The 25,062-nt window shown below is 52.4% G+C and overlaps 1 protein-coding gene across 5 annotated transcripts, besides 7 other annotated features; it reads left to right on the forward strand.

Moving 5' to 3' along the window:
• Positions 1-111: 111 nt before the first annotated feature.
• FLYWCH2 (FLYWCH family member 2) lies at positions 112-16,299 on the forward strand. Of its 5 annotated transcripts, none has more exons than NM_001142500.1 (4): positions 112-279; positions 12,137-12,237; positions 13,269-13,688; positions 15,966-16,299. In NM_001142500.1, the coding sequence occupies exons 3-4, from the start codon at positions 13,367-13,369 to the stop codon at positions 16,064-16,066; spliced, it is 423 nt and encodes a 140-aa protein (NP_001135972.1). In that variant the 5' UTR covers positions 112-279; positions 12,137-12,237; positions 13,269-13,366; the 3' UTR covers positions 16,067-16,299. The 5 variants fall into 5 exon arrangements, with proteins under 5 accessions (NP_001135972.1, NP_001135971.1, NP_612448.1 ...); NM_001142499.1 differs by having other exon boundaries at positions 112-189; NM_138439.3 differs by having other exon boundaries at positions 132-283; positions 15,966-16,282.
• Positions 248-417: a silencer, noted in NCBI's record as "silent region_7077". NCBI's record gives its function as "represses an Ori minimal core promoter by ATAC-STARR-seq in GM12878 lymphoblastoid cells {active_cell/tissue: GM12878}" and the evidence as "EXISTENCE:reporter gene assay evidence [ECO:0000049][PMID:35858748]".
• Positions 508-567: a silencer, noted in NCBI's record as "silent region_7078". NCBI's record gives its function as "represses an Ori minimal core promoter by ATAC-STARR-seq in GM12878 lymphoblastoid cells {active_cell/tissue: GM12878}" and the evidence as "EXISTENCE:reporter gene assay evidence [ECO:0000049][PMID:35858748]".
• Positions 21,256-21,485: a silencer, noted in NCBI's record as "silent region_7079". NCBI's record gives its function as "represses an Ori minimal core promoter by ATAC-STARR-seq in GM12878 lymphoblastoid cells {active_cell/tissue: GM12878}" and the evidence as "EXISTENCE:reporter gene assay evidence [ECO:0000049][PMID:35858748]".
• Positions 22,041-22,541: an enhancer, noted in NCBI's record as "H3K27ac hESC enhancer chr16:2955125-2955625 (GRCh37/hg19 assembly coordinates)". NCBI's record gives its function as "activates a minimal SCP1, AML or CMV promoter by ChIP-STARR-seq in naive H9 embryonic stem cells {active_cell/tissue: H9 hESC(naive)}" and the evidence as "EXISTENCE:reporter gene assay evidence [ECO:0000049][PMID:30033119]".
• Positions 22,041-22,975: a biological region, named in NCBI's record as "H3K27ac hESC enhancer GRCh37_chr16:2955125-2955625".
• Positions 22,156-22,975: a silencer, noted in NCBI's record as "silent region_7080". NCBI's record gives its function as "represses an Ori minimal core promoter by ATAC-STARR-seq in GM12878 lymphoblastoid cells {active_cell/tissue: GM12878}" and the evidence as "EXISTENCE:reporter gene assay evidence [ECO:0000049][PMID:35858748]".
• Positions 24,142-24,211: a silencer, noted in NCBI's record as "silent region_7081". NCBI's record gives its function as "represses an Ori minimal core promoter by ATAC-STARR-seq in GM12878 lymphoblastoid cells {active_cell/tissue: GM12878}" and the evidence as "EXISTENCE:reporter gene assay evidence [ECO:0000049][PMID:35858748]".

The raw sequence follows: 25,062 nt of genomic DNA on the forward strand, positions 1-25,062 counted from the left end.
GCCCCTGACGGCGACACTCAATCCCGGGTGTCCCCGCCCCCTTACTGAATTTTGGCCCCGCCTCCGCCCTCCGATTGGCCGGACGCCAGCTCTACGCCGCACGGGCAAGACGCGGAGGAGCGGCCCCAGCCAGAAGACAGGGCACCCGCGGCCTTGCTGCGCATGCTCGCGCTGTGACCCCGGCTTGAGGTAACAGCGCGAGCTGAGGCTGGGGCCCTTGGCGCGGAGGCTGAGGGACCCGCCGCGGCGCTGTCGCCGGAGAGGGAGGGCACCGCTGTCGTCGGTGAGGACGGGCCCTGGCGGGCGGGGAGGGTCCTGCGTCCTCGGCATGGACGAGTCCCCGGCCCGGCTCTCTCGGGGGTCCCGAGGGCTGCGGGTGCTGAGGAGGGGTCCGCGTCCTGGTGCTCAGGCCGCCTCCTGTGGGGTCTCCCGCGATTCCCTCTTTGCCTCTCGCCCCTCCTTCCCCACCCCCTCCAGTCCCTTGTCCAAAGCCTCAACACCCCCACACGAAGGAGGTCCGCACTCGCCCGCCGGTCCCTGGCCGTGTCCGCCGCGCCCAGCGCTGCCTTCCCGGCACCCCCCAACCCCCGCCGGCCTCGTCCCACGGTTGCAGCTCGGGAGGTCCCTGCAGGGACGGCAGCGAGTTGGAGGCGTGAGATACTGGGGCGGGGGAGACACTCGGGGCCTCAGGGTGTGGGTATTCTTGAGAGAGGAGAGAGCCGGGGAGCTGGGACCATTTGGGCGCAGCCCAGCCCGCGTTTGATGCCAATTGCATTGGGTAAAGGAGTGAAATAAAGATTCTGAGCCCTGGTGATTAGGGGAAGGAGCTGCCATGGCTGAAATTGCCATGGTGGGGAAGCTCCGCGCTGCACACCTTAGAGTAGCAGTTCTTGGCCTTCTTGGGGCAGGGGTCACTGCCGGTTTTTTAAATCTCCCTGTGAGGACGTGTACTGCACACCTTAGTGTCCCGTCATCCTGTCGGGGTCAATAACAGCCCCGCTGTGGACTGCGTGGAGCAGTAATTATTGGGGAGCAGCTGTCCATATCGTCTGGGAACTTTTGCGATGACTTCACCCTTGCCTGTCATCTATTAACAGCCCCTGATAAATTCACCACTATTTCCGTTACGCAGATGAAACCTGCTGGGAGGGTAAGGGATTTGTCCTCGCGGCTGAGGATGCCGGTGCTGGTGGACATTAGTGATGTTTCTCCCCCGTGCGTATGAAGATGATTCTGTGGGTCCACCATGAGGCACCAGGCAGGGGTCCTGTCGTCCAGAACATCGTCAGTGAGGGATTGAACCTTGTATTAGTTTCCTGTTGCTGTCCTAACAAATAAGGTGGCTTAAAGCAACACAGGCCGGGCGCGGTGGTTCACGCCTGTAATCCTAGCACTTTGGGAGGCCGAGGCAGGCAGATCACAAGGTCAGGAGATAGAGACCATTCTGACTAACATGGTGAAACCCCGTCTCTACTAAAAAAAAAAAAAAAAAAATACAAAAATTAGTCGGGGCCGGCGCGGTGGCTCACGCCTGTAATCCCAGCACTTTGGGAGGCCAAGGAGGGTGGATCACCTGAGGTCGGGAGTTCGAGACCAGCCTGACCAACATGGAGAAACCCCGTCTCAACTAAAAATACAAAATTAGCCGGGTGTGGTGGTGCACGCTTGTAATCCCAGCTACTTGGGAGGCTGAGACAGGAGAAAGGCTTGAACCCGGGAGGCAGAGGTTGCAGTGACCCAAGGTCGCGCCACTGCACTCCAGCCTGGCCGACAAGAGCGATACTCCGTCTAAAAAACAAAAACAAAAAAAAAACTCCGGGTGATTCTTAGGGATAGTGACATTGGGGAACTGCTGTTCATATGTTCATAGACTCAATTTACCTTTTTCTGAATATTTAACAACTTTATTGAGATAATTCACATACCGTGCAATTTACCCATTTAAAGTGTACATTTCGGCCGGGCGCGGTGGCTCACGCCTGTTATCCCAGCACTTTGGGAGGCCAAGGAGGGCGGATCACGAGGTCAGGAGATCGAGACCATCCTGGCTAACACGGTGAAACCCCGTCTCTACTAAAAATACAAAAAATTAGCCAGGCGTGGTGGCAGGCGCCTGTAGTCCCAGCTACTCCGGAGGCTGAGGCAGGAGAATGGCGTGAACCCGGGAGGCGGAGCTTGCAGTGAGATCACGCCACTGCACTCCAGCCTGGGCGACAGAGCGAGACTCCGTCTCAAAAAAACAAAACAAAACAAAAAAAAAAATATACAGTTCAGTGGCTTTAGTGTGATCACAAAGTTGTGCAACCCTCATGAAAATTCCTTTTAGGACATTTTCATCACCCCATAAAGCACATACCCACTAGTAGTCAATTCTCATTCTCCCCTTCCCCACCCCAATCCCGAGATAACCACAAATCTACGTTCTGTCTCCATAGATTTTCCTACTCTGTAGATTCTCTAGACTCTAAGTAATTTCATGTAAATGGAATCATATAATATGTGGTCTTTTGGGTCTGGCTTCTTTTACCGAGCATAATTTCTTCAAGGTTCATTCATGTTGTAGCATAGATTTTTTTTACTGCCAAATAATATTCCATTTTATACATGCACCACATTGTACTTATTCATTCATCCATTGATGGATATTTGGGCTGTTTTGAATATCCATCGAAACGTTTTGGCTTTCATGAATAATGCAACTGTAACATTCATGTACACATTTTTATGTGGACATGTGTTTTCCTTTCTTCCAGGCATATAGCTAGTAGTGGAATTGCTGGGTCATAGGGTAACTCTACATTTAACCTTTTGAGGAACTGCCAGGCTGGTTTCCAAAAATGGCTGCACCATTTTACATTCCCCTCAGCAGTGTATGAGGGTTCCAGTTTCTCCTCATCCTCACCAGCACTTGCTATTATCTGTTTTTTGTTTGTTTTATTATGTCCATCCTGGTGGTGTGAAGTGATATCTCATTGTGGTTTTGATTTGCATTTCCCTGGTGACTAATGATGTTGAGCATCTTCTCATATATTAGCCATTTGTATATCTTCTTTAGAGAAAAGCCTGTTTGGAGCCTTTGCCCATTATTATTATTATTGTTATTATTTTTTTTTTTTAGACGGAGTACCACTTTGATGCCCAGGCTGCAGTGCAGTGTAGTGCAGTGGCGCCACCTCGGCTCACTGAAATCTCCACCTCCCGGGTTCAAGCAATTCTCATGCTGCGCAGCCTCCTGAGTAGCTGGGATTACAGGCATGTGCCACCATGCCACCAATCCAAAAAAGAAAATAATTTTTGTATTTTTAGTAGAGACAGGGTTTCACTATGTTGTCTAGGCTGATCTCGAACTCCTGACCTCAGGTGATCCTCCTGCCTCAGCCTCCCTAAGTGCTGGGATTACAGGCATGAGCCACCACGCCCTGCCCCTTTGTCCTTTTTTTTTTTTTTTTTTTTTTTGAGGCGGATTTTGCTCTTGTTGTCCCGGCTGGAGTGCACTGGTGCAATCTCAGCTTACCGCAACCTCCGCCTCCTGGGTTCAAGCAATTCTCCTGTCTCAGCCTCCTGAGTAGCTGGGATTACAGGCATGTGCCACCAAGCTTGGCTAATTTTGTATTTTTAGTAGAGACAGGGTTTCTCCATGTTGGTCAGGCTGGTCTCGAACTCCCGACCTCAGATGATCCACCTGCCTCGGCCTCCCAAAGTGCTGGGATTACAGGTGTGAGCCACCATGCCCAGCCGCCCATTTTTAAATTGTTTGTTTGTTTGCTTGTTTATTACTGAGTTGTAATAGTTCTTTATAAATTCCAGATACAAGTCCCTTATCAGATATATGATTTGCAAACATTTTTTCCCATTCTATGGGTTATCTCTTAACTTTCAAAAGTTTTATGGCTAAAACACAAAACTCTTAAACTTAGTTGAAGTCCAGTTTATTTCTTCATTGGTTGTTTGTGCCTTTCATTATATTGAAGAAAGCTTTGCCTAATCTAAGGTTATGAGAATTTAGTTTTTCTTTTAAAAAAAAGTTTTATTACTGTAGCTCTTGTAATAAACTATAATTTTTTGTTTTTTTGTTGTTTTGAGACAGGATCTCACTCTGTTACCCAAGCTGGAGTGCAGTGGTGCAATCTCGGCTCACTGCAACCTCCGCCCCACTGGCTTAAGCAATCCTTCCACCTCAGCTTCCCAAGTAGCTGGGACCACGGGTGCACACCACCATGCCCGGCTTTCTTTTTTTTTTTTTTTTTTTGTATTTTTAGTAGAGATGAGGTCTCGCCATGTTGCCCAGGCTAGACCTGAACTCCCGAGCTGAAGAGATCTGCCCACCTCAGCCTCCCAAAGTGCTAGGTTTATAGGCATGAGCCACCATGCCTAGCCATATAATTTATTTAGAGTTAATTTTTGTATATGCTGTGAGGAAAGCATACAACTTCATTCTTTTGTATTGGATATTCAGTGGTCCTAGCATTTAATGTTTGTTTTTATTATTATTATTATTATTTTTTGAGACAGAGTCTTGCTCTGTCACCCAGGCTGAGGTACAGCAGCACAATCACAGCTTACTGCAGCCTTGACCTCCCAGGCTCAAGCAACGCTCCCACCTCAGCCTCCCAAGTTGCTGGAACTACATATGTGCCCCACCACCCTGGTTAATAATATTTTTTTTAGAGATGAGATCTCACTATGTTGCCTAGGCTGGTCTGGAACTCCTGGGTTCAAGCGATCCTCCTACATCACCCTCCCAAAGTACTGGAATTACAAGCATGAGCCACCACGCCTGGCCCAACATTTGTCGTTAAGACTATTTTCCCTCCACAGAACTGTCTTGCCACCTTTGCTGAAAATCAGTTCACCATATATATAAGAGTGTATTTCTGGACTCTCAGTTCTATTCTGTTGATCTCTGTGTCTGTGTTTTGTTTGTTTGTTTGTTTGTTTTTTAAGAGGTGGAGTCTCGCTCTGTTGCCCAGGCTGGAGTGTAGTGGCGTGATCTCGGCTCACTGCAACCTCCGCCTCCCGGGTTCTAGCAATTCTCCTGCCTCAGCCTTCCGAGTAGCTGTGACTATAGTTGCATGCCGCCACACTCGGCTAATTTTTTGTATTTTTAGTAGAGACGGGGTTTCACCATGTTGCTTATGCTGGTCTCAAACTCCTGAGTTCAGGCAATCCACCCACCTTGGCCTCCCAAAGTGCTGGGATTACAGGCATGAGCCACTGTGCCCGGCCTGTGTCGGTCTTTATGCCAGTACCACATTGTATTGATTACTGTAGCTTTGTGATAATATATTTTGAGATAGAGATGTGTCAGTCCTGCAAGTTTTTTTTTTTTCAAGATTGTTTTTGCTATTCTGGGTTCCTTGAATTTTCATATGAATTTTAGGACCAGCTTGTCAGTTTCTCCAAAAAAAAAAAAAAAAAAAGCCAGCTGGAATTAAGAATCTATAGATCAATGTCAGAAGTGTTGTCATCTTAACAATATCAAGTCTTCCAATCCATGAACATGGGATGTCTTTCCATTTGTTTAGGGCTTCTTTAATTTCTTTCAACAATGTCATGATCTTCTTGGGGAACCTGAAGCCCAGTAGGTGCTCCAGTCCTGTGGGCTGACCAGCTTGACCAGCTAAGCCTCTTATCCTGGAGGAAGTCCCAGGACTGGCTTCTTCTTGGCTACCTTGTCCTCCAAATGGAGAGTATGAGGAGATCTTCATAACCTTCACTTCTCTGAGATTCTGTGGAATTATTTCTCTGCAGCTTCATGAGCTAGAGCAAATATCATGGTTTTTAAGAGCAGAAGTAACTTTTTAAGTTAAAAAGTCATGGAAGCAAATTTATTATTGCACTACTTAGGAGGTGTGCATGGGACTAATTGTAGAAAAGAAATATTTGTCATTTTTGAAAATGAGGTATTAAACACTATGATTAACTGAAATTTGATATTCAGAAAAGTATCACTTGTGTTTTTCCAGAACGCATAAAAATGATTCATAAAACACAGTTCCTACCAGGCAACCTTTGTCAGGGCCATTTTGCTCAAAATTTGGTGTTTTTTTGTTGTTGTTGTTGTTGTTTGTGTGTGTGTATACATGTGTATACAGTCATTTTTCAATCTGTTCTTCTAACCTTTACTTTTTTTTTTTTTTTTTTTGAGACGGAGTCTCGCTCTGTCACACAGCTTGGAATACAGTGGCCCGATCTTGGCTCACTGCAAGCTCTGCCTCCCAGGTTCACGCCATTCTCCTGCCTCAGCCTCCCGAGTAGCTGGGACTACAGGCGCCTGCCACCATGCCCGGCTAATTTTTTGTATTTTTAGTAGAGATGGCATTTCACCGTGTTAGCCAGGATGGTCTCAATCTCCTGACCCTGTGATCCACCCGCCTCAGCCTCCCAAAGTGCTGGGATTAGAGGCGTGAGCCACTGCGCCCGGCCAACCTTTACTTTTAAAGAAAAAGCACTAGGAAAGACTATATTAAAAAAAAAAAACAACCTGAAAAAGAGCAAAGTTGCTTATGCTGGGTTTTCTGTGATAAAATAGTTAATGTTTTGGGTCATATTAATGCAGCTAGCTACTTACCTTTAAAAAAAACTTTTTATTTTGGAATTATTTTAGCTTTATAGAAAAGTCCGAGAGGCAGTACAGAGTCCCTATAGATCTTCCCCACCCCCAGCTTCCCCTCATGTTAACATCTCATATAATAAATTATTGTTGGTACAAGACTACAGAACTGGGCACAGTGGCTCACACCTGTAATCAAGAACTTTGGGAGGCCAAGGCAAGCAAATCTCTTGAGGTCTGGAGTTCGAGACCAGTCTGGACGACATGGTGAAACCGTGTCTCTATTAAAAATACGATAATTAGCCAGGCGTAGTGGTGCGTGTCTGTAGTCTCAGCTACTTGGGAAGCTGAGGTGGGAGGATCACTTTGAGCCCATGAGTGTGAGGTTACAGTGAGCCATGGTTGTATCACTGCACTCCAAGCAATATACCAAGACCCTGTCTCTCAAAAAAAGAAAAAAGAAAACTAACCTATAGACTTTATTTGGATTTCATCAGTGTTTTCACTAATGCACTTTTTGTGTTCGGAGGTGTAATCTGGGATCTGATCCCACATTCATTTTTGTGTGCGTGTGTGTGTTTTTTTGTTTTTGTTTTTTTTTTTTTGTTTTTGTTGTTTTTTGGTTTTTTTGAGTTGGAGTCTCGCTCTGTTGCCCAGGCTGGAGTGCAGTGGTGAGATCTTGGCTCACTGCAACCTCTGCCTCCCAGGTTAAAGCAGTTCTTCTGTGTCTGCCTCCTGAGTAGCTGGGATTACTAGGTGCACAGCACCATGCCTGACTAATTTTTTTTTTTTTTTGAGACAACGTTCTGCTCTTGTTGCCCAGGCTGGAGTGCAGTGGCGCGATCTTGGCTCACCGCAATCTCCACCTTCTGATTTCAAGCGATTCTCCTGCCTCAGCCTCCCGAGTAGCTGGGATTACAGGCGCCTGCCACCACGCCCGGCCAATTTTTTTTTTTTTTTGTATTTTTAGTAGAGACGAGGTTTCACCGTGTTGGCCAGGTTGTCTCGAACTCCTGACCTTGTGATCCACCCGCCTCAGCCTCCCAAAGTGCTGGGATTACAGGCATGAGCCACTGCGCCCAGCCACGCCTGACTAATTTTTATATTTTTACTGGAGACGGAGTTTAGCCATGTTAGCCAGGCTGATCTTGACCTCTTGACCTAAAGTAATCCACCCACCTCAACCCCCCAGAGTTCTGGAATTACAAACGTCAGCCACCTCGCCCAGCCCAGATTGTCATCTTTGGAAATGCACTAAGCCCAGCCAACAATCAAGGGAGGGGACTTAAGCTCCATTTCCTGGAGGGGGAAGTGTCCGCACATACTGTTTAGAATTCCTCTTAAGGAAGATTTGTCCCTTCTCCAACATTTATGTATTCAGTTATTTGTATCAGCTTGGACTCATGGATATTTATTTTGTTATCTGGGTTATAATCCCGACCACTGGCTTCCAAGGCAGGACCTCAGCTCTGAGGATCAGTTTTCTTTGTAACTGGCATTTCTGACTTCAAGCATCTGCTGCCCAAGGCCATTGGCTCTGGACCAGGCCTCCATCTCCCCAGGGACAGAGTGGAGTGATGGGGACACTGGGAAGGGAGGTTGTTGGGTAGCAGTAATAGAGGTCATGGTTGACATAATAGGACTTTTTTTCCTGACTCAGGTCCCAGGTCAAGGACCAAGGATGTGGCTCTGGGCAGATCACTTCTGTGCCAGGCGCAGGCAGGAGGACCAGAGTGGCAGGGTTCTCTCTCTCTCTATTTTATTTTTATTTTATTTATTTTTTTTTGAGATGGAGTCTCGCCCTATCGCCCAGGCTGGAGTGCGGTGGCGCGATATCGGCTCACTGCAAGCTCCGCCTCCCGGGTTCACGCCATTCTCTTGCCTCAGCCTCCGGAGTAGCCGGGACTACAGGCGCCCGCCACCACGCCCGTCTAATTTTTTTGTATTTTTAGTAGAGATGGGGTTTCACCGTGTTAGCCAGGATGGTCTTGATCTCCTGACCTCGTGATCCACCCGCCTTGCCTCCCAAAGTGCTGGGATTATAGGCGTGAGCCACCGCGCCTGGCCTCTCTCTTTTATTTTATTTAATTTGTTTATTTTTTATAGTGATGAGGTCTCGCTATGTTGCCCAGGCTGGTCTCGAACTCCTGGGCTTAAGTGATCCTCCCGCCTTGCTCATGCTTCTGACCAGCCAGCTGCAATCTCAGGTTGCTATGACCCCTTCCTTGGGTTAAATCATTTCCTAGAGTGGCCCAAAGAACTCAAGGAAACAATGCCAGGCACGGTGGCTCATGCCTGTAATCCCAGCACTTTGGGAGGCTGAGGCGGGTGGATCACTTGAGGTTGGGAGTTCGAGACCAGCCTTGCCAACATGGTGAAACCCTGTCTCAACTGAAAATACAAAGATTAGCTGGGAGTAGTGGCCGGCGCTTGTAATCCCAGCTACTCGGGAGGCTGAGGCAGGAGAATTGCTTGAACCTGGGAGGTGGAGGTTGCAGTGAGCTGAGATTGCGACATTGCACTCCAGCCTGGGTGGGAAGAGCGAGACTTCATCTCAAAAAAACAAACTATTTACAGGCCAGGTGTGGTAGCTCATGCCTGTAATCCCAGCACTTTGGGAGGCTGAGGCGGGTGGATCACCTGAGGTCAGGAGTTCGAGACCAGCTTGGCCAACATGGTGAAACCCCATCTCCACTAAAAATACAAAAAATTAGCCGGGCATGGTGGTGCACACCAGTAATCCCAGCTACTTGTGAGTCTGAGACAGGAGAATATCTTCAACCCAGGAGGCAGAAGTTGCAGTGAGCCAAGATCACACCACTGCACTCCAGCCTGGGAGACAGAGCGAGACTCCATCTCAAAAAAAAAACACAATTTATCTACATTTACCATTTTATTATAAAGGAGACAGATGAAAATATAAATGCAGTCGGGCACAGTGGCTCATGCCTGTAATCCCAGCACTTTGGGAGGCTGAGGCGGGTGGATCACGAGGTCAACAGATCGAGACCATCCTGGCCAACATGGTGAAACCGCGTATCTACTAAAAATATAAAAATTAGGAGAGCATGGTGGCGTGTGCCTGTAGTCCCAGCTATGTGGGAGGCTGAGGCAGGAGGATCACTTGAACCCAGGAGGTGGAGGTTGCAGTGATCCGAGATCACGCCACTGCACTCCAGCCTGGCGACAGAACCAGATTCTGTCTCAAAAAATAACTAAAATTTATATATATTTTAAATATATATAATATATAATGTATATATGTCATATAATATATATTATATATGTCATATATATACCATATATGTTGTATATGTGTCATATATCGTATATAATATATATTATATATGTCACATATATACATATATTTTATTTATATATATACACACACACACACATATAAATGCAGCAGCACGTATGGGAGGGGCTCACTTTCCATTCCCACCCCACTCCCAACTCCCACACACCCGTCCAAGGACTCCATGTGTTCCTGGAAGCTCTCGGAACCCTCTCCTTTTGGGTTTTTATGGAGGCTTCATTACATAGGCATGATTGATTGAACTATAGGCCATTGGTGATCAACTTAACCTTCAGGCCCTCTCCCTTTCCTGGAGTTTGGAGGAGGGGCTGAAAGTCCCAACCCTCTAACCCTGCCTTGGTCTTTCTGGTGACCAGCCCCATTGAAGCAGCCCAGGGGCTGCCAGCCATCAGTCAGTGCCTAAGCATACAAAAAGACATCATTTTGGAGATTCCAGGAATTTTAGGAATTATGTACTGGGAGAGAGGGTCAAACACCAAATATATATTTCACAATATGAAAGAGCCCAATTTACGTATTTCACGATTCCCTTCTTGTTACAGCTTAACGAGATTTTTTTATTTTCCTGACTTTTCGCTTTGGAGAATTAGTCAATAGTTTAGGTCTGTCTTGTTCGTTTAATATGGGGTTTGAATTTGAGATGGGGCTGACGTCACTTTGGGGCCCTTTTCTTTTCTTCTTTTTTTTTTTTTTTTTTTTTGAAACGGATTCTCGCTCTGTCGCCCAGGCTGGAGTGCAGTGGCACGATCTCGGCTCACTGCAAGCTCCGCCTCCCAGGTTCACGCCATTCTCCTGCCTCAGCCTCCCGAGTAGCTGGGATTACGGGCGCCCGCCACCACGCCGGGCTAATTTTTTGTATTTTTTAGTGGAGACGGGGTTTCAACATGTTAGCCAGGATGGTCTCGATCTCCTGACCTTGTGATCCGCCCGCCTCGGCCTCCCAAAGTGCTGGGATTACAAGCGTGAGCCACCGCGCCCGGCCCCTTTGGGGCCCTTTTGTACAGCTCAGAGTTGGCCTGGCTGCAGGGCTGGGACTATGGAATGGCAAGGAGGTGCCTCAGGTGCCAAATATTAGGTTGGTGAAAATTAATTGCGGTTTTGTCATTGAAAGCAATGGCAAAACCGCAATTACTTTTGCACTAACCTAATATAAGGAGGCGTGCAGTCTGGGGGTCAGAGTGAGTGTGGAGGTCTCGGAGAATGGCTGCTGGCCTGGAGGAGGCTGCTAGGTCTGGGTCCCTGCCAGCCTTGTGGGGACCAACTGCTGTATCTTGCAGGAATTTGCACGCTGGGTATGCAAGAGGCTTCATCTTTTTTGGAGTCTGGGAGCGCTGCAGTGGCAGAACCGACACGGCGGGAGGCGCTAGAGGACCCGGGGTGGACTCGGACGTGGGGTCAGGGAACCTGGCATTTATTCCTGCCCGGACTGCCCACTCATGCTGCGGAGTGTGGGAGGCGTGGGGAGATCGGCCGCCAGAGGGACGTGCGCCGTAGCCAATCAGCGTGTGAAGCAGGGCGCTATGTGGTTGGGGCCTCCCGTAACTCTTTACGGCCCCAGAGTGGCCCCCAGGTCCCCGGCATCCCCACATCGCCCTGTGAGGCAGATGAGCAGAGCCGGAAGGGCCGCACGGGAGGAACAGGGGTTGGCTTGTCCGGAGGCGGACGGATAACGCGACCCCGATCCCTGCGGTACTCTGCAGTCATGTGACTCGCCGCCTGGCGCATTTCTTCAAGTGCCCACCCCCTCGAGAAGGTGCCCCTGGGGTGGGGGCTTCACATCTGCTTTTGTTTAGTGGTCAGAGGACTACAGAGGGAAGCTCTCAGGACAAGGCCCCCAACCCTGTACTCCAGTCCTGCATCCTTAGGCCCCTCTCATGGACAATAGGGTCTTAGAAAAAGCGCCAGGGTGCTGGGCATGGACCCCTCAGGACAGACGCATTGGGAGGGGTCCAAGGAAACCATGAGAACCTCAAGCCCAGGTTGGGGAATCGGCCCGAGGGGAAAGTGGGTGTCTCTGGGCCTTGTCCTGCCTGGGTCCTGGACAGGGGGCTAGGTGGCTGCCCAAGCTGCAGTCTTGTGTCTAGGCTAAAACTGTAAGCTGGGAAAGACCCCATGGTCTGCCCACCACCCAGTTGACCCCCAAAAGACAGAAAGGCCACCCCACACTGGCCTGGAGCCCCAGTCCTGAGGTGCTGCAGCACCAGTGTGGGGTGGCCCGGCACTTGCCCCTACAGGGTTACAACCCATCCTTTCTGCTTCTCCAGGCCAGAAGCCAAGGAGTCCTCAGTGACGGTGGGATCCACAACATCTCCACATCGCTGTCCCCACCCAGCCAGGGCAGCGCCAGCACTAGCTCAGACGCAAGGTTGGTGTGAGAACCAGTGGGTGTGGCCAGGCGCGGTGGCTCACGCTTGTAATCCCAGCACTTTGGGAGGCTGAGGCGGGCAGATCACGAGGTCAGGAGATCGAGACCACGGTGAAACCCCGTCTCTACTAAAAATACAAAAAATTAGCCGGGCGTGGTGGCGGGCGCCTGTAGTCCCAGCTACTCGGAGAGGTTGAGGCAGGAGAATGGCATGAACCCGGGAGGCGGAGCTTGCAGTGAGCCAAGATCGTGCCACTGCACTCCAGCCTGGGCGACAGAGCGAGACTCCGTCTCCAAAACAAACAAACAAAAAGAACCAACGAGCAGAGGAGCATGTGGGCCTTCAGACGGGGATGTGGCTGGATCTGGTTGTCCCACCTGCCAGGGCCAGCTGCAGTGCTATGGTCTGCAAAGTGCTGGCAGGTGCCTGGCCCATGCTCCCTGTGACAACACAAACTGAGCTAATGTCCCCAGAGTGTTTAGCTCTGATGCTTGGTGCCCAGGGACACTGATGTCTGTTAACATGGACAAAGTACACCAGATGCTGTGTGGTCATGGGCTCTGTGTCCACTCCATCTCTGCCACTCTGTGGCCGTGTGGATCACCCTGGCATGTCTCAGTGTCCTCAACTGTGACTGGGTCCATAAGAACAGCCTGCTGTCATAACAGGGGTGGGAGGTGGGACTGGAAACAGTCCTCAGGGTGGAAACCCTTCGTCCGTGCTCAGCATGTGGGAGGCCCATTGGTAGTGGCTGAGTTCTTAGTCCATTAGTCATTCTGATGGCCCCTTGTGGAGGGTGTTTACTGTGCACCTTTTCCAGATGGGGAAAGTGGGGTTGGATGGGGCTGACGTTCCCAAGGCTGCCAGGAGAGGAACTGGCAGAGCAGAAGCCTAGTTCCATCAGGCCCCCTGTCAGTCTTGGCCCCAGCGAGCAGTGAGGCAGCCCCATCTGCCCCACCTCCCTCCCAGATCCACGTCTAGAGCCTCCCAAGGGCTTCCACCACTGACGGGATTTTGCTTCCTTCCTTAGGACGGAACCGCTGGACTCCAGGTTCCTTGCCTGGGAGTAGGAGAAATCCACCTGCTGGGGGCTGAGTGTGGCCTGAGGGACAGGCCCTGGGTCCCGGGATGCCCCTGCCCGAGCCCAGCGAGCAGGAGGGTGAGAGTGTGAAGGCCAGCCAGGAGCCATCCCCCAAGCCAGGCACAGAAGTCATCCCGGCAGCCCCCAGGAAGCCCAGAAAGTTCTCCAAACTGGTCCTGCTCACAGCCTCCAAAGACAGCACCAAGGTGGCGGGGGCCAAGCGCAAGGGTGTGCACTGTGTCATGTCCCTGGGGGTGCCCGGCCCCGCCACCCTTGCCAAGGCCCTCCTCCAGACCCACCCCGAGGCCCAGCGGGCCATTGAGGCAGCCCCTCAGGAGCCTGAGCAGAAACGGAGCAGGCAGGACCCAGGTGAGGCTCCACAGCGGCCCCCCAGGACAGCTCGGCACCTCCCAGGGTGGCCCCCACAGCCGCGCTGGCTCCATCAGGCGCTTCTCCCTGGCATGCGGGTCCTTGTTCCCTGACTTTGACCACGTGTGGAGAGCAGTGGCACAGGGGTTAGGGCACAGGCCTGGGCATCCGCCGACCTCCAACCCTGCCTCTGAGCGGCCTTGCCTCTCTGTGTCTGTTCCCCACTCTGGAATGCGCTGCCTACTGGCTCCTTCACAAGGGAGGGTCTGAGGGTGCGGCGGGGCCCACAGGCAGCTGCCGTCAGCTTCAAGGTCTTGGCTCGCAGCTGTTCGATGAGGGTCTCTAAGACCGGGGGCTTGATGGGTCACCTTTCCATATGTTCTAGAAAGCTTCTTTGGTCTCACTCACCGTTCAGTCACTTAGTAACATCCACTGAACAGCAGCTGTGTGCAGGCTGGGCTCTGGAGACTCGAGTCACGCAGGATGAGACTCCCAGCAGACTAAGGCAGTGACCTCAGCCTGGCTCTCCGGGACTGCCCCTGCTCTCCCTACCTCCTCTGCACAATCACCCCCCACCAAGCCTCCGGGGAGATACAGCTCAGGGCTCACAGGTCCCATGGGAGAGTGGGGCTGGGGGTGTGGCCCTAGCTGCTGCGGGCTGGCTGGAGGTGATGGGGCAGGTTCATTCCCTGTGCTTTGCTGTGGGAGTGATGGGATGGATGGAGGCACTGAGCATCTTCAGTCCCTGCTCCCACTCCCCAGGGCCCTTGGCTCTGCCCCTGCTGTGTACTAGACCTTTCAGCTAGACTTGGGGAACATAGTCAGGTGGGCCATGGTAGCAGAGATGGGATGAGAGCAGGGCTGCCCCTTTCCCTGCACCCAGCTCTCCCTGAGGTGGCCCAGGCCATGCCCTGCTGTCCCCTGCAGGAGGACAGGTCCCCTCCTGGCCCCACAGCAGGTCCTGCCTCTGGGCTCTACCAGGGCAGGCAGCGGTGGGGGCAGGGCCCTAGGCAGCAGAGGAAATGGGCTGGGTACACCTTTTGAACTGGAAGTTCCAGGGAGATGGGGCAGGGGGCTGCCCAGTGGGTGGGAAGAAGGTGAGTTGGGGTTTCTTCCCAACTGGGAGTGGGCTCTGCCGTGCCCTGAGAAGAAGAGGCGTAGCAGGTGGCCTTGGCTTGTGACCTCTGAACAGGTGGTCCCCTGGGGTCAGCCAGAACAGGTGGTCCCCTGGGGTCAGCCAGGGCACTCAGCCTGGCAGCCCATTGTGAGAAAAGGTTCCTTCAGTTTGCTGGCCGTGCAGGGACCCTGCCTCACTGATGGAAATTGAGGGGTGAGTGGCCTGAGGTCACAGAGGGTCACAGCCCCACAGCCTCCCTGGGGCTGAGACCCCAGAATGCCTGAGATGGTGGTGTCCGCAGCCACAGGCTTGGAGCTTTCAAGGAACCTAATGGACCCCTCGGCCTCCATCCCTCTGCTGGAGTCTCAGGCCTGGTGTGAGCAGTGCTCTGGGACTCAGAGGGACCCCGTCCTCCCAGAGCCGGTGGGAGTGCCTGGCTCTTACTGCGAAGCCCCCACCATCCAGTCCTGCTCTGAGAGCCTCTGCCTGTCCCCCTGGCTTCTCCTGCCAACCTTGGGCAGAGGATGCAGTCCCCATGGCCTGTGGGAGGCAGGGCTCAGAGGAGCGAAGTCGCCACTCTGAGGCCACCAGGAGGTCCCTGCAGAGGGCAGAGGGGGTTGGAGTCTGGCTCAGGATCTGTTACACCTGAGCTCTGTGGAATGAGACCATCTCAAGGTCCTCCCAGCCCCTTTGAGACTCCTGCTCACTGCTGGGATCCATCTAGGCCTGGGGCCGTGGTGCCTTTGTGAGAATTGGAGCACAGCCATCTTCGCCAGATGAAAGGCAGAGCAGGGCTCCATCAGGCGCCAGGGGTCCCGCAGGCAATCACCCTCAGGCATCGACCACCCCCATCTGCCAACTCCTCCATCCTTCCATCCCCACCCCAGGTCCAGCAGAGGCGATGGCTGCGGCTTCCCAGTGCTCAGCACAAACTTGGCCTCAAGTTTCCTGGAAATGACTTTAGCAGCTTTTGTGGCCCTGGCCTGGTGGCCTTGGGAGCAGCGTCCCTGAGTGGCAGTCACTTCTCAGTCAGGCAGAGGCTTCTGGCCCTGGAGCATCCACTGGTTGGGGTGAGAGTGAGGCCTGGTAGACCCCCAACAGCCAAGCTGAGCCCTCCCATCTCCATTGACACCAGCCTGATCCACCCTCTTCTCTCGCAGGCACAGACAGAACAGAAGACAGTGGATTAGCAGCGGGGCCTCCTGAGGCTGCTGGGGAGAACTTTGCCCCCTGCTCTGTGGCGCCCGGCAAGTCCCTGTAACCTTGACAACAGGCGCATCCTCCCAGGCCACCAACCCAGCCATAGGCTCTTCTCTGTCCGCAGGGCTTCTGGGGCCAAATGGGTGAATCTTTGCTTTTAACATTGTGTGATTTCTTTTCTTTTTTTTTTTTTTTTTAGATCAAGTATAAGTTACTTTTGTAAGCAGAAAAATACTTTCAAACAAGAATAAAAGAAGCTGTTCGCTAGACCCCATAATGGGCAGGTTTTAAACATCCCAGGCTTCTGGGTCCTTTGAGGCTCAGCTCTGATGCCACCACCCCTGGGTCTCCGCACCCCAGCCCTTACTGGGCCCTTCCAAAGTGCCCCTTAGTCACTGCCCTCCCTGACCCAAGTCTCGCTTCCTCCATGAAGCCTCCCAGACTGACAGCTCCCAGGCACTAAGGGAGCTCAGGCTTGCTGAGAATGGTAGCTCCAGGATTCTGCTGAGGGAGAGGTAGGCCTGCAGCTCATGGGTGGGTTCAGGGAGGAACCTGACAAAAGCACATGCGGCCTGCCTGTCATGTTTTTTCCAGGGGATTTGTGGGCTGAGGAAACCTGAGTTCCTGCCCTGGCCCCCTGGGTGCCATCCCTGCTGGAGGGGAGATGAAGGAAGCACAGCTACCCTACTTGAGCTCCCAAGTCAGCGAGCCTCCAGGAGGCTTCCCATGAGTCCTCATTCTTTGACAACTGCCTCTGGGCTCAAGGCAATGTTAGGGTTTTGTTTGTTTGTTTTGAGGCGGAGTTTCACTCGTCGCACAGGCTGGAGTGCAGTGGCACGATCTGGACTCACTGCAACCACCACCTCCCGGGTTCAAGCGATTCTCTTGACTCAGCCTCCTGAGTAGCTGGGATTACAGGCGCCCGCCACCACGCCCGGCTAATTTTTATATATTTAGTAGAGATGGGGTTTCACCACGTTGGCCAGGCTGGTCTTGAACTCCTGACCTCAGGTAATCTGCCTGCCTCAGCCTCCCAAAGTGCTGGGATTACAGGCATGAGCCACCATGCCTGGCCCTGATTTTATATTCAGATGGTTTCTGTGTTCTCCACCATGCTTTCTCCTTTCCCAAGTGTTTTTTTGTTCGTTTGTTTTGTTTTGTTTTTTGAGATGGGGTCTCACTCTGTAGCCCAGGCTGGAGTGCAGTGGTGTGATCTCAGCTCACTGCAACTGCCGCCTCCCAGGTTCAAGCGATTCTCCTGCTTCAGCCTCCCAAGTAGCTGGGATTACAGGTGCGCACCACCATGCCTGGCTGTTTTTGTATTTTTAGTAGAGATGGGGTTTCACCATGTTGGCCAGGTTGGTCTGGAACTCTGGACCTCAGGTGATCTGCCTGCCTCGGCCTCCCAAAGTGCTGGGATTACAGGTGTGAGCCACTGCTCCAGGCCTGTTCCCAAGTACCCTTGGCTGTCTGTTCTTGTCAGATGTTAAGGACACCTGAGGATGTCAGGGCAGGACGTTTCGGGTGCAACCTCAAGAAGTGGGAGTGAGGAAGAGGAGGCCGGGGTGGGTCAGAGGGCAGGGTCACTGTGGGGCGCGTCTGCCCTGTACTCAGTGTGGCACCATCGGGCCCCTCCTGCTGTTGCCTGGGAAGCCTTACCCAGCAGTGAGGGGTGGCTGTGGAGCAGCAGGGCCGGGAGCGGGGGAGCATTTTTGCTGCCACCTTTTAGTGGAGTTGGGGGAATGACAAAGGTGCCCTGGGCCTGAGTCTTTCAGTGGCGCTGGCAGTCGGCCGGGAGGGAGACGCATACTGGGGAGCTGGAGCCTGCACACTGGGCCTGGCCACATCACTGTTTTCCTCACCCTCTGGTTTTATTTTGAAACATTTGGAGCATAAAAGTTGCAGGAGCACGCAGTGCATACTGTATCGCCCTGGCCTGGGTTCCCCGGCTCTCCTTCCCTCTCTCTCTCCTCTTTTTTCTCTCTCCCTCCCTCTGTCTCTCCTCCACACACTTCTCTTTTGCCAAACCATCCAAATGCAGGCAGCAGACTCCAAAACCATTCTGCCTGCACCTCTGAGCACACCCTTCCCAGTCATAGCCATGTTAATGCGAGTGTGCCTGAGAGGATCGCCGCTGGTTCCGTGATATCACCCAGCATCATCCACACCACATCCCAGTGAGCAGTGAGGACAAAAATGGCCAGGTTAGGACCCCATGTTGCCTTTTTTTGCCACCCATATCCCGGAGCCCCTCTCCTGTTCTTTATTTTTTATTTTTACTTTTATTTTTATTTTTTTTTCGAGACAGGGACAGGGTCCTGCTCTGTTGCCCAGGCTGTAGTGCAGCAGACCTTCCAGGCTCAAGCAATCATCCTCCCACCTCAGCCTCCTGAGCAGCTGAGACTACAGGCAGGCTACTTTTTTGAGTTTTTGAGGAGATGGGGTCTCGCTGTGTTGCCCAGGCTGGTCTCAAACTCTTGGGCTCAAGCGATCTTCCCATCTCGGCCTCCCAAAGTGCTGGGATTACAGGTACAAGCCACCGTGCCCAGCCTAGTGTTAGCAATTTGATATTAAAATTGAAATAATAGGCCAGGTGCAGTGGCTCATGCCTGTAATCCCTGCCTTCGGGAGGCTGAGGCGGGCGGACCAGCTGAGGTCAGGATTTCAAGACCAGCCTGGCCAACATGGCGAAACCCCGTCTTTACTAAAAAAAAATACAAAAATTAGCCAGGTGTGGTGGTGGGTGCCTCTAGTCCCAGCTACTCGGGAGACTGAGGCAGGAGAATGGCTTCAACCCGGGAGGTGGAGGTTGCAGTGAGCTGAGATCACACCACTGCACTCCAGCCTGAGTGACAGAGTGAGTCTCCATCTCAAAAAACAAATAACTGTTTAAAAAATTGCAATTATGGCCGGTCATGGTCACGCCTGTAATCCCAGTACTTTGGGAGGCTGAGGCAGGTGAATCACCTGAGGTCAGGAGTTGGAGACAAGCCTAGCCAACATGGTGAAACCCTGTCTCTACTAAAAAATACAAAAAATTGGCCAGGCGTGGCAGTGGGCATCTGTAATCTCATCTACTCGGGAGGCTGAGGCAGGAGAATCACTTGAACCCAGGAGGTGGAGGTTGCAGTAAGCCGAGATCATGCCATTGCACTCCAGCCTGGGCGACAGAGCGAGACCCCATCTCAAAAAAAAAAAAATGCAATTATGGATATCCATTCACATTTTAAATCCAAACACAAATTTTAAAACATTAATTTTTTAAATTAAATTGAAAATTTTAAAAATTCTGCCACTTTCTTGCTCCTTCACTTCTTGGGGACTTTGATGTACAGGCCCAAGCAGGGTTCCCGGGATCTAGTGGTAAACAGGTCACAACCCATCCCCCGCAGAGCCACAGAGGAAACATAGAAATCCCTGACTGATGAGTCTATGAACCTGAGGCTAAGGGCCACCGAGGAGTCTGGGTGCCGCGGGGTGTATGACAGAGGCCAACCCAGTGGGGGCCAGCCTGGGCAACATAGTGAGACACTGACTCTACAAAAAAATACAAAAATTAGCTAGGTGTGGTGGTGCGTGCCTGTAGTCCCAGCTACTGGGGAAGCTGAGCCAGGAGGATCACCTGAGCTCACCTATAGTCCAGCTACTCAAGAGGCTGAGGCTGGAGGATTGCCTGAGCCCAGGAAGTCAAGGCTGCAGTCAGCCATGATGGCACCACTGAGCTCCAGAGTGGGTGACATGATGAGACCCTGTCTAAAAAAATGTATATAAAGTGGATTTTTGTAGGAGGGGGTTGCAATAGCAGCTTACTTAGTTCACTCCATGCATCGACCTGGTATTGCAGTAGCTCCAAGAACGGTGCCCCCCGCCCATGTGTGTGGTTGCTGAGTGTAGATGTCATTAATTTTAATTTTGAAAAGGGGACAAAAATTACAAATTACCTCCAGTAATTCCACTACTTAGAGGTAAATTTTAAAAAATATATGTGTGTGTGTGTGTATATAATATATATACTCTGGCTATATATATATTTATATTTATACATATTTATATATATTTATATATATTTATTTATATATTTATATATATTTATTTATATATTTATATATATTTATATTTATATATTTGTATATATAAACTCTGGCTATATATATATATTTAGCCAGAGTTTCACTCTTGTTGCCCAGGCTGGAGTCCAGTGGTGCGATCTTGGCTCACTACAAACTCTGCCTCCTGGGTCCAAGTGATTCTCCTGCCTCAGTCTCTCCAGTAGCTGGGATTACATGCATGCACCACCACACCTGGCTAATTTTTTATTTTTAATAGAGACAGGGTTTCTCCATGTTGGTCAGGCTGGTCTCGAATTCCCGACCTCAGGTGATCCACCCGCCTCAGACTCCCAAAGTGCTACGATTACAGGCGTGAGCCACCGCGCCCGGCCAAAAAATATATATTTTTAAAATTTTTTTATTTTCAGAAAATCAAGGTGATGCCACACATTTGTTGTTGAGACAGAGTCTCGCTCTGCCGTCCAGGCTGGAGTGCAGTGGGGAGATCTCGGCTCACTGCAACCTCCGCCTCCCGGGTTCAAGTGATTCTCCTGACTCAGCCTCCCGAGTAGGTGGGAATACAGGCGCGCGCTAGCGTGCCTGGCTAATTTTTGTATTTTTAAGTAGAGACGGGGTTTCGCCATGTTGGCCAGGCTGGTCTTGAACTCCTCACCTCAAGTCATCCTCCCGCCTCGGCCTCCTAAAGTACTGGGATTACAGGCATGAGCCACCGTGCCTGGCCCACATATGTTTTTTCATAATGTGTTACAAATGTCTTCCTTCTTATGAATGCTGCACAACATTCTTTTTGCTGCTTGATGCCCACTGCAGGGATGCGTGAAATCCACTAGCTCCAGTGGCCAGACACATCCCGGTTGCCTCCAGGTTGTAAGCAATCCTGAAATAGCCTCGTATGTTCCTAGGACAGAGTTCTAGAAGTGAGATTGCCGAACTGGAAGAATGCAAGTTACATTCAACCCACGTCCTGCGAATGCCGATCTCTCCGGCATTTGTCAACACCTGGTTTTATCATCAAGAAGAAAACAGTAATAACGCGTCCTCCGCTTGGCCCTAGCGTGCACAGCCTCTGCGCTTTTCACCTCGAGGTCTCATTTTCCTTGGACAGCACCGAGCGCTGGGCAGGGCCTCATCCGGGTTCAGGGCCGGAATCTGGAGACGTTCTGGCCGATGCTCCTGACGGCCGGGAGAGGGCGCGCGCGGACTCAGCGGCGGCCCAGCAGCCTCCCCAGGACCCAGGCAGTGCTGGCAGCCAGGAGTGCGGTTCCGCCCCGCAGCCTCAGTCCCGCTCCGCCCACCCGCCTGACCCCCACCCGGGCTCCTTACGGCCCAGACACCGGCTCTAAGGTGGCTTCTGCAGGGATGGGAGGTGGGCGACTGGGAGGGGTGGAGGGGGCCTGTGTGTTGACCCTGCGGGTGGCAGCCGTTGGGAAATTGCAATGGCGTCCACACTGTCGCTGCCCAGGGCGCGAGCCGCAGCCTCTCCTCCCGTCTCGCTTCCTCCGACAGGCGCCCGACTCGGACACACGGCGCCCCTGTGGTTACCACATCCACTGCTTTTTGGTCTCCTCACCCAACCCCTTAACATAAACTCGACACCAGGGAAGGCATCTTGGACGATTTTGGTCCCTGAGGGTCCTAGTGCGAAGGGCAGGGAGAGAGGGAGCGGTGTGGTGCAGGGGGATACAGAACGCGGAGGACATCTAGGGGCTGAGGATGCGGGGACGAGGAGCGCGCGGAAGAGCCGAGGTTCCGGGGTTGGGGGGTGCGGATTTCAGAGGAACCGCCGGGGATGTGGACGGACTCGGAAGGAAGGGGTCCCAGAGAGGACGCGGGCGGCTGCAGGACACAAGAGGTGCGGGACGCAGGAGGCCGTGGGGTCGTGCGGGAGCCCAGGGCACCTCGACATGGACCCGCCAGACCTGTGGCTCCTCCAGCGGCCGCTTTAGAGCGAGAGGAGGTGCGCAGGCCGTGAGGCGGGTCTCCCTGGGGTCTCCCAGGGAGGAGCGGCGCCCTCCCCGAGCCAGCCGAGGACGCGCAGCCAGAGGGGGGTCGGGCGGAGAGAAGAGTGCGGGCGGACCGGGACGACCCCTGGGTGATAGGAGAGCCGCAGTGAGCCCAGGGCACGGTGCTGGGGCCGCTCTGGCCGCCGCCGCCAAGCGTCACAGGAAAACAGCAACCAGGACCCCGCGGCTCCTGGCGCTTGGACTCAGCCCGGTACCGCACCGCGTTGCTGGAGAATGTGTCCTTGGCGCGCGCTGAGCCAGGAAGGGACAGCGGGAAGGGCGGGGCCCGTGGGCAGGGGAGGGACCAGTGGGCGGGGACCGAATCAATTCGCTAGCGGTGAGCCAGTGGTCGAGGGCTAAACCAATGGGCAAGGCGTGGACCAATGGGCGAGTGCTGGACATCAATGAATGGGGCCTGAACTAATGGGCGGGGTGGGGCCAAGGGGCGGAGCTGAGCCAATAGAAGGGAGCGGAACCAATGGGTGGGGCTGAACCAATGGGCGGGGCGGGGCCAATGGGCTAGGGCTGGGCCGGGGCGGGGCCAATGGGCTAGGGCTGGGCCGGGGCTGGGCCAATGGGCGGGGCTGGACCAATGGGCGGGCCGGGCCAAGGGCGGGCACTAAGCCGACGGAAGGGGTGGAACAAAAGGGCGGGGATGGACCAATGGGCGAGGGATGGGCTGGGCCAATGGGCGTGGCTAGACCAATGGGCGAGCGAAGGGCCAATGGGCAGGGCGGGGCCAAAGGACGGGGTCTGAGCCAATGGAAGGGGGCGGTACCAATGGGCGGGGCTGAACCAATGGATGGGTTGGACCAATGGCAAGGGCTGGACTAATGGACGAGGGATGGGCCGGGGCTGGACCAATGGGCGAGGGCTGGACCAATGGCCACGGGCTGGGCGGTGGCTGGGCCAATGGGAAAAGGAGGATTTCACCTCGTGGAATGCTCAGGGGATGAAGGGAGTATTCCTTTATCTAGCTTCTACTTTGACATAATTTCTCACCTACAGAAAAGTTGCAAGAATCCCAAAAGGAGGTTGACTGGGGTGGCTCACGTCTGTTTCCCAATGCTTTGGGAGGCCAAGGAGAGAGAATCGCTTGAGCTCAGGAGTTTGAGACCAGCCTGGGGAACATAGGGAGACCACGTCTCTAGTAAAAATTAAAATTAAGACCGGGAGGGGTGGCTTACGTCTGTAATCTCAGCACTTTCGGAGGCCAAGGTGGGTGGATCACCTGAGGTCGGAAGTTAGAGAGCAGCCTGACCAACATGGAGAAACTCAGACTCTACTAAAAATCCAAAACTAGCCGGGCGTGGTGGCGCATGCCTGTAATCCCAGCTACTCAGGAGGCTGAGGCAGGAGAATCACTTGAATCCGGGAGGCAGAGTGCAGGGACCAGCCCCACAGGGTCTGTGGGTCTCTCCCCGTGTGCGGCGATGAGAGAGTGTAGAAATAAAGACACAAGACAAAGAGATAAAAGAAAAGACAGCTGGGCCCGGGGGACGACTACCACCAATGTGCGGAGACCGGTAGCGGCCCCGAATGTCTGGCTGCACTGTTATTTACTGGATGCAAGCAAAAGGGGCAGGGTAAAGAGTGTGAGTCATCTCCAATGATAGGTAACGTCACGTGGGTCATGTGTCCACTGGACAGGGGGCCCTTCCCTGCCTGGCAGCCGAGGCAGAGAGAGAGAGGAGACAAAGAGAAAGACAGCTTACACCATTATTTCTGCATATCAGAGACTTTCAGTACTTTCACTAATTTTCTACTGCTATCTAGAAGGCAGAGCCAGGTGTACAGGATGGAACATGAAGGCAGACTAGGAGCATGACCACTGAAGCACAGCATCACAGGGAGACGGTTAGGTCTCCGGATAACTGTGGGCAAGCCTGACTGATGTCAGGCCCTCCACAAGAGGTGGAGGAGCAGAGTCTTCTCTAAACTCCCCCGGGGAAAGGGAGACCCCCCCCCCCTTTCCTGGTCTGCTAAGTAGCGGGTGTTGTTCCTTGACACTTTTCGCTACAGCTAGACCATGGTCCCCCTGGCAACGGGTGTCTTCCCAGACGCTGGCGTCACCGCTAGACCAAGGAGCCCTCTGGTGGCCCTGTCCGGGCATAACAGAAGGCTCGCACTCTTGTCTTCTGGTCACACCTCACTGTGTCCCCTCAGCTCCTATTATGGTATGAGGCCACCACTTCTCCTGTTGTCCTTCCCAGTTTCTCCCCAACCTCCCCTTTTCCCTAGTTTATAAGACAGGAGAAAAGAGAGAAAGCAAAAAGTTGGAAAGAAACAGAAGTAAGATAAATAGCTAGACGACCTTGGCGCCACCACCCGGCCCTGGTGGCTAAAATAATAATATTATTATTAACCCCTGACCAAAACTACTGGTGTTATCTGTAAATTCCAGACATTGTATGAGAAAGCACTATAAAACTTTTTGTTCTGTTAACTGATGTTTGTAGCCCCCAGTCACGTTCCTCATGCTTACTTGATCTATTACGACTTTTTCACGTAGACCCCTTAGAGTTGTAAGCCCTTAAAAGGGCTAGGAATTTCTTTTTCAGGGAGCTCGGCTCTTAAGACACGAGTCTGCTGACGCTCCCGGCCGAATAAAAAAACCTCTTCCTTCTTTAATCCGGTGTCTGAGGAGTTTTGTCTGCGACTCGTCCTGCTACACTATCTCTGTATGGCCTGGTTTTTCCTAGGTTATGATTATAGAGCGGGGATTATTATAATATTGGGATAAAGAGTAATTACTACAAACTAATGATTAATGATATTCATATATAATCATGTCTAAGATCTATATCTGGTATAACTATTCTTGTTTTATATTTTATTATACTGGAACAGCTTGTGTCCTCAGTCTCTTGCCTCGGCGCCTGGGTGGCTTGCCGCCCACAGCAGAAGTTGCAGTGAGCTGACATCGCGCCATTGCACTCCAGCCTAGGCAAGAAGAGCGAAACTCCGTCTCAAAAAAAAAAAAA

The sequence above is a fragment of the Homo sapiens genome, chromosome 16 (assembly GCF_000001405.40).
Source record: "Homo sapiens chromosome 16, GRCh38.p14 Primary Assembly".
In the NCBI taxonomy this organism is placed as follows: domain Eukaryota; kingdom Metazoa; phylum Chordata; class Mammalia; order Primates; family Hominidae; genus Homo; species Homo sapiens.

Excerpts from the sequence above, each read along its gene's own strand:
- FLYWCH2 (NM_001142500.1), top strand. The coding sequence starts at position 13,367 with ATGCCCCTGCCCGAGCCCAGCGAGCAGGAGGGTGAGAGTGTGAAGGCC. Across the intron at positions 13,689-15,965 it reads ACGGAGCAGGCAGGACCCAG|GCACAGACAGAACAGAAGAC; the intron begins GTGAGGCTCCAC and ends CTTCTCTCGCAG.